Source organism: Homo sapiens, chromosome 2 (genome assembly GCF_000001405.40).
Source record: "Homo sapiens chromosome 2, GRCh38.p14 Primary Assembly".
Classification (NCBI taxonomy): domain Eukaryota; kingdom Metazoa; phylum Chordata; class Mammalia; order Primates; family Hominidae; genus Homo; species Homo sapiens.
The window spans coordinates 77,588,557-77,595,614 of record NC_000002.12 but is presented as its reverse complement, the minus strand read 5'-3'; the positions used below and the strand labels follow the sequence as shown (position 1 = coordinate 77,595,614).

The following is a 7,058-nucleotide window of genomic DNA, read 5'->3' as shown; positions in this document are numbered from 1 at the left end:
CTTTATTTCTGCCTTCATTTCGTTATGTACCCAGTAGTCATACAGGAGCAGGTTGTTCACTTTCCATGTAGTTGAGTGGTTTTGAGTGAGATTCTTAATCCTGAGTTCTAGTTTGATTGCACTGTGGTCTGAGAGATAGTTTGTTATAATTTCTGTTCTTTTACATTTGCTGAGGAGAGCTTTACTTCCAAGTATGTGGTCAATTTTGGAATAGGTGTGGTGTGGTGCTGAAAAAAATGTATATTCTGTTGATTTGGGGTGGAGAGTTCTGTAGATATCTATTAGGTCTGCTTGGTGCAGAGCTGAGTTCAATTCCTGGGTATCCTTGTTGACTTTCTCTCTCGTTAATCTGTCTAATGTTGACAGTGGGGTGTTAAAGTCTCCCATTATTAATGTGTGGGAGTCTAAGTCTCTTTGTAGGTCACTCAGGTCTTGCTTTATGAATCTGGGTGCTCCTGTGTTGGGTGCATATATATTTAGGATAGTTAGCTCTTCTTGTTGAATTGATCCCTTTACCATTATGTAATGGCCTTCTTTGTCTCTTTTGATCTTTGTTGGTTTAAAGTCTGTCTTATCAGAGACTAGGATTGCAACCCCTGCCTTTTTTTTGTTTTCCATTTGCTTGGTAGATTTTCCTCCATCCTTTTATTTTGAGCCTATGTGTGTCTCTGCACGTGAGATGGGTTTCCTGAATACAGCACACTGATGGGTCTTGACTCTATCCAATTTGCCAGTCTGTGTCTTTTAATTGGAGCATTTAGTCCATTTACATTTAAAGTTAATATTGTTATGTGTGAATTTGATCCTGTCATTATGATGTTAGCTGGTTATTTTGCTCTTTAGTTGATGCAGTTTCTTCCTAGTCTCGATGGTCTTTACATTGTGGCATGATTTTGCAGCGGCTGGTACCGGTTGTTCCTTTCCATGTGTAGTGCTTCCTTCAGGAGCTCTTTTAGGGCAGGCCTGGTGGTGACAAAATCTCTCAGCATTTGCTTGTCTGTAAAGTATTTTATTTCTCCTTCACTTATGAAGCTTAGTTTGGCTAGATAGGAAATTCTGGGTTGAAAATTCTTTTCTTTAAGAATGTTGAATATTGGTCCCCACTCTATTCTGGCTTGTAGGGTTTCTGCCGAGAGATCCGCTGTTAGTCTGATGGGCTTCCTTTTGAGGGTAACCGGACCTTTCTCTCTAGCTGCCCTTAACATTTTTTCCTTCATTTCAACTTTGGTGAATCTGACAATTATGTGTCTTGGAGTTGCTCTTCTCGAGGAGTATCTTTGTGGTGTTCTCTGTATTTCCTGAATCTGAACGTTGGCCTGCCTTGCTAGATTGGGGAAGTTCTCCTGTATAATATCCTGCAGAGTGTTTTCCAACTTGGTTCCATTCTCCCCAACACTTTCAGCTACACCAATCAGACATAGATTTGGTCTTTTCACATAGTCCCATATTTCTTGGAGGCTTTGCTCATTTCTTTTTATTCTCTTTTCTCTAAACTTCCCTTCTCGCTTCATTTCATTCACTTCATCTTCCATCACTGATTCCCTTTCTTCCAGTTGATTGCATCAGCTCCTGAGGCTTCTGCATTCTTCACGTAGTTCTCGAGCCTTGGTTTTCAGCTCCATCAGCTCCTTTAAGCACTTCTCTGTATTGGTTATTCTAGATATACATTCTTCTGAATTTTTTTCAGAGTTTTCAACTTCTTTGCCTTTGGTTTGAATGTCCTCCTGTAGCTCAGAGTAATTTGATCATCTGAAGCCTTCTTCTCTCAGCTCGTCAAAGTCATTCTCCGTCCAGCTTTGTTCTGTTGCTGGTGAGGAACTGCATTGCTTTGGAGGAGGAGAGCTGCTCTGCTTTTTAGAGTTTCCAGTTTTTCTGTTTGTTTTTTCCCCATCTTTGTGGTTTTATCTACTTTTGGTCTTTGATGATGGTGATGTACAGATGGGTTTGTGGTGTGGATGTCCTTTCTGTTTGTTAGTTTTCCTTCTAACAGACAGGACCCTCAGCTGCAGGTCTGTTGGAGTACCCTGCCGTGTGAGGTGTCAGTGTGCCCCTGTTGGGGGGTGCCTCCCAGTTAGGCTGCTCGGGGGTCAGGGGTCAGGCACCCACTTGAGGAGGCAGTCTGCCCCTTCTCAGATCTCCTGCTGAGTACTGGGAGAACCACTGCTCTCTTCAAAGCTGTCAGACAGGGACATTTAAGTCTGCAGAGGTTACTGCTGTCTTTTTGTTTGTCTGTGCCCTGCCCCCAGAGGTGGAGCCTACAGAGGCAGGCAGGCCTCCTTGAGCTGTGGTGGGCTCCACCCAGTTCGAGCTTCCCGGCTGCTTTGTTTACCTAAGCAAGCCCGGGCAATGGTGGGCGCCCATCCCCCAGCCTCGCGCCTCCTTGCAGTTTGATCTCAGACTGCTGTGCTAGCAATCAGCAAGACTCCGTGGGCGTAGGACCCTCCGAGCCAGGTGAGGGATATAATCTCGTGGTGCCGTTTTTTAAGCCCGTCGAAAATCGCAGTATTCGGGTGGGAGTGACCCGATTTTCCAGATGCTGTCTGTCACCCCTTTCTTTGACTAGGAAAGGGAACTCCCTGACCCCTTGCGCTTCCCGAGTGAGGCAATGCCTCACCCTGCTTCGGCTCACGCACGGTGCGCGCACCCACTGACCTGCGCCCACTGTCTGGCACTCCCTAGTGAGATGAACCCAGTACCTCAGATGGAAATGCAGAAATCACCTGTCTTCTGTGTCGCTCACACTGAGAGCTGTAGACCGGAGCTTTTCCTATTTGGCCATCTTGCGACAAAGTGATCCCAGGTATTAACTATTTTAAAAATATATATCATTATTATAAATAAGTGCTTTTCTGTTACTTTTCCTTAAAAATACTAGTAGCTATTTTTTATTGTATCAAATATCTATTTCACATTTTAAGAAGATTATATATATTTTCTAGTTTCTTTACATGTTGATGTAATGAATTGTGTTTATAGATTTCTCAACAATAATAACAGCAACAGCAATGATAATAATTTAAATATTATTTTCTGGTTTAAACTTTATTTATATGCACTGTATTATTCTTAACCTTCCATCTTATTACTTTCAGAAATATTAGATTGTTACAACATTTAGAGGCTTTATTATGCTATTTTTAGAGAAAGCATGTGCTTTGCTTTTGTGAGGCTTTCATTCATTGTCACACACACACACACACACACACACACACACCCCAGCATCTACACCTGCCCATCCATCCTGCAACTTTGCACCCAGGGAACTGCAGCCTCTTTCTTCCCCAGAGCTGAAAATTCTTGTGGGCATCAAAAGGCAAAACACTTGGAGTCAATCCACGAATGTGATTATCACTCTAACAATGTAACTACTAGAGATTTCCTGTATATAGATAATTCTTTCTTTCTTTCTTTTTTTTTTTTTTTGAGATGGAGTCTTGCTCTGTCGCCCAGGCTGGAGTGCAGTGGCGTGATCTTGGCTCACTGCAAGCACCACCTCCCGGGTTCACGCCATTCTCCTGAGTGGCTGGGACCACAGGTGCCTGCCACCACACTCCGCTAATTTTTTGTATTCTTTGTAGAGATGGGGTTTCACCCTGTTAACCAGAATGGTCTCGATCTGACCTCGTGATCTGCCGTCCTCGGCCTCCCAAAGTGCTAGGATTACAGGCGTGAGCCACCGCGCCCAGCTGACAATTCTGTCTTTACAGTGCTATAGTCAATTCTCTGCTTTTTTTAAGTATGCTTATGAATAATTTTTACCAATAATTCACTAATAGAAGCAAAATTATCTAGCTTTGGTGAAATAGCTTTATTTATAAAATAAAATTCTTCCTAAATTTCTGATTTTAAAATATACTAATTTTATAATGAAAATCCCTTCCAAATAACTTAAATGTGTCCACAATTGGTGGGTTCTTGGTCTCACTAACTTCAAGAATGAAGCCACGGACCCTCACAGTGAGTGTTACAGTTCTTAAAGGCGGCGTGTCCAGAGTTTTTTCCTTCTGATGTTTGGATGTGTTCAGAGTTTCTTCCTTCTGGTGGGTCCGTGGTCTTGCTGGCTCAGAAGTGAAGCTGTAGACCTTCGCGGGGAGTGTTACAGCTCATAAAGGCTGTGTGGACGCAAAGACTGAGCAGCAGCAAGATTTATTGCAAAGAGCTAAGAACAAAGCTTCCACACTGTGGAAGGGGACCAGAGTGGTTTGCTACTGCTGGCTCGGCAGCCTGCTTTCATTCCCTTATCTGGCCCCACCCACATCCTGCTGATTGGTCCATTTTACAGAGAGCTGATTGGTCTGTTTTACAGAGAGCTGATTGGTCCGTTTTGACAGGGTGCTGACTGGTGCATTTACAATCCCTGAGCTAGATACAAAAGTTCTCCAAGTCCCCACTAGATTAGTTAGACACAGAGTGCTGATTGGTGCATTTACAAACCTTGAGCTAGGCATAGAGTGCTGATTGGTGTATTTACAGTCCCTTAGCTAGACATAAAGGTCCTCCAAATCCCCACCAGATTAGCTAGATACAGAGTGTAGATTGGTGCATCCACAAACCCTGAGCTAGACGCAGGGTGCTGATTGGTGTGTTTACAAACCTTGAGCTAGATACAGAGTGCTGATTGGTGCATTTACAATCCCTTAGCTAGACATAAATGTTTCTCCAAGTCCCCACTAGACTCAGGAGCCCAGCTGGCTTCACCCAGTGGATCCCACAGGGAGGTCGCAGGTGGAGCTGCCTGCCAGTCCCGCACCTTGCGCCTGCACTCCTCAGCCCTTGGGCGGTCCATGGGACCAGCGCTGTGGAGCAGGGGGAGGTTCTCATCGGGGAGGCTAGGGCCGCGCACAAGCCCACGGCGGGTGGGGGATGCTCAGGCATGGCAGGCTGCAGGTCCCGAGCCCTGCCCCTTGGGGAGGTGGCTAAGGCCCGGCGAGAAATCGAGTGCAGCGCCAGTGGGCCAAGACTGCTGGGGGACCCGGTGCACCCTCCGCAGCTGCTGGGCTGGGTGCTAAGCCCCTCACTGCTCAGGCTGGCAGGGCCAGCTGGCCACTCTGAGTATGGGGCCTGCTAAGCCCACACCCACCCAGAACTCTAGCTGACCGCCGCGGTTCCCACCCTTGCCTCTCCCTTCACATCTCCCCGCAGGCTGAGGGAGCCGGCTCTGGCCTCGGCCATCCTAGGAAGTGGATCCCACAGTGCAGCGGTGGGCTGAAGGGCTCCTCAAGTGCGGCCAGAGTGGGTGCCGAGGCCGAGGAGGTGCCAAGAGCAAGCGAGGGCTGCGAGGGCTGCCAGCACACTGTCAACTCTCATTAATATAATTACTATTTAATTTGAAAAGCACATACATTAGCTAACTACAAAACAAGTATTATAAAATGTATGCATTTGGTGAAGGGAATAAATTATTAATGCTAGAGGAAAATTATGGCAATATGACAAAAAGGAAAGGTAGAAAATAATTTTAAGTTAAGTCTGTTTCATTTAACTACCTTGCTCCTTATAAAAAAAATTCCAACTCACAAACACTGTTTTTATAGTTATAGTTTAGTCCTCTGTTGCTGAAATGACTAGGGAAAACTCACAGATAGAATGATTAAACCCAATTTCAGTTTATGATCTTGAGACATTAGCTCACCCTTAATGCCTTCAGGCAACCACACTAGGAGTCCCTGATCCACTTACAGTTGATTCTTTCTTTTCTCTCACAAACTATTTCTCACCCTTTTTTTTTTCCTGTGATTTAAGCCTAATACCTCTATCTATCTTCATTCTCCTTTGATGCCCTTGCTTTCTGCTTCACTGTAAACTTAACTGAAAACAGGGGAAGAGCAATCAAACTCCTCCCGCAACATCATCCCCCATCCACCACCTGGACCCAGCCCCCATCATCTCTCTCATGAATTCCTGTAAAGGTCTTCCTAACTGCAAGCTTCTCTAACTTGTTCTCCCAAGTATGCCAACTGGTATGTTAGGGAACTAACCTAACTACTGTATCAGAACAGTCTCATTAGGTGGTCCTATGTCATACAGAGATTCAGTTCTGAATAGAGCATGGTACCATCTACTGGGATATTGGCACACATCAGGTGCAGGAAGGACTGGATTTCTGTTTTGTCTCTACAAACAGAAAGAGAATAGCAGATGTCCCTAGGGCCAGATGCAAGAAGCAAGCATGCATACAGACTGTTAACTTTAAGATACTCGCCCTTGAGAGTCTCATTTGGCTTCTTGTCTTCTCAGTAAGGTTTTGGCAGTTTATAATCAATGACCCTAGAACTGTAAACTTTCCAGATGTGTCCGAGTTCCTCATATATTGACACTTGAGCATGTGCCAAACCTATATCTGTCTTTCCTAGCTATCCAGCATCCATAAATCAAAATCTTAAATACTTGCTGTATAGCAGATAGAGAAAATGTGCTCCTTAGTTTTACATATCCAAATCATCAAGATGACTAAAAAACGTAGGTCTTCTACTAAGATAAGGAAATGGATATATTGTGGAAGAAAATGTACTTTATTGTAATTGGATTTAACAAAGAAAACAAAGACCATAGTTCCTTAAGCTAGTAATTCATTCTAATTTTGTTTATATACATATATTTCCACAAAACCATGAAGCACTTTGAGCTGACCAATGCCAGTTTTTTTTTTACTTTACATTGAACCAAACTATTAGACATTCTTGTATTTTAAACATGATTAATACTGCCTTCATAAAACTATCAATGTAATTCACCATATAGTATATTTAAACTCTCGTTATTCAAATCACTTTTTTATATGAGCACCCTGCTGTGACATTATCAACATAAGGTAGGCTTTAAAAAAATAATAACTTAATTCTTTTTTAGCCACAGTTTATGACAGAAAAGAAAGGAAATAGAGGCATTGATCATGCTTTAATTGGTTGGCACATTCCCTTTGATTGCCATTTCTCAAGGTGATGAAAATGCCCTTTCCTTTTTGCTGATCTGTCAATATACTTTTTGAATGTTGCAAATTGCTCAAAGGAATTTGACATCTAAGAAGATGATGAAAAGTTATCTTTCAACTAGATGTA

General features: G+C 43.4%; 3 annotated features.

Annotated features, from left to right (window-relative positions):
* Window positions 1,922-2,488: an enhancer, noted in NCBI's record as "NANOG-H3K27ac-H3K4me1 hESC enhancer chr2:77820253-77820819 (GRCh37/hg19 assembly coordinates)". NCBI's record gives its function as "activates a minimal SCP1, AML or CMV promoter by ChIP-STARR-seq in naive and primed H9 embryonic stem cells {active_cell/tissue: H9 hESC(naive and primed)}" and the evidence as "EXISTENCE:reporter gene assay evidence [ECO:0000049][PMID:30033119]".
* Window positions 4,469-5,005: an enhancer, noted in NCBI's record as "H3K4me1 hESC enhancer chr2:77817736-77818272 (GRCh37/hg19 assembly coordinates)". NCBI's record gives its function as "activates a minimal SCP1, AML or CMV promoter by ChIP-STARR-seq in naive H9 embryonic stem cells {active_cell/tissue: H9 hESC(naive)}" and the evidence as "EXISTENCE:reporter gene assay evidence [ECO:0000049][PMID:30033119]".
* Window positions 5,006-5,543: an enhancer, noted in NCBI's record as "H3K4me1 hESC enhancer chr2:77817198-77817735 (GRCh37/hg19 assembly coordinates)". NCBI's record gives its function as "activates a minimal SCP1, AML or CMV promoter by ChIP-STARR-seq in naive H9 embryonic stem cells {active_cell/tissue: H9 hESC(naive)}" and the evidence as "EXISTENCE:reporter gene assay evidence [ECO:0000049][PMID:30033119]".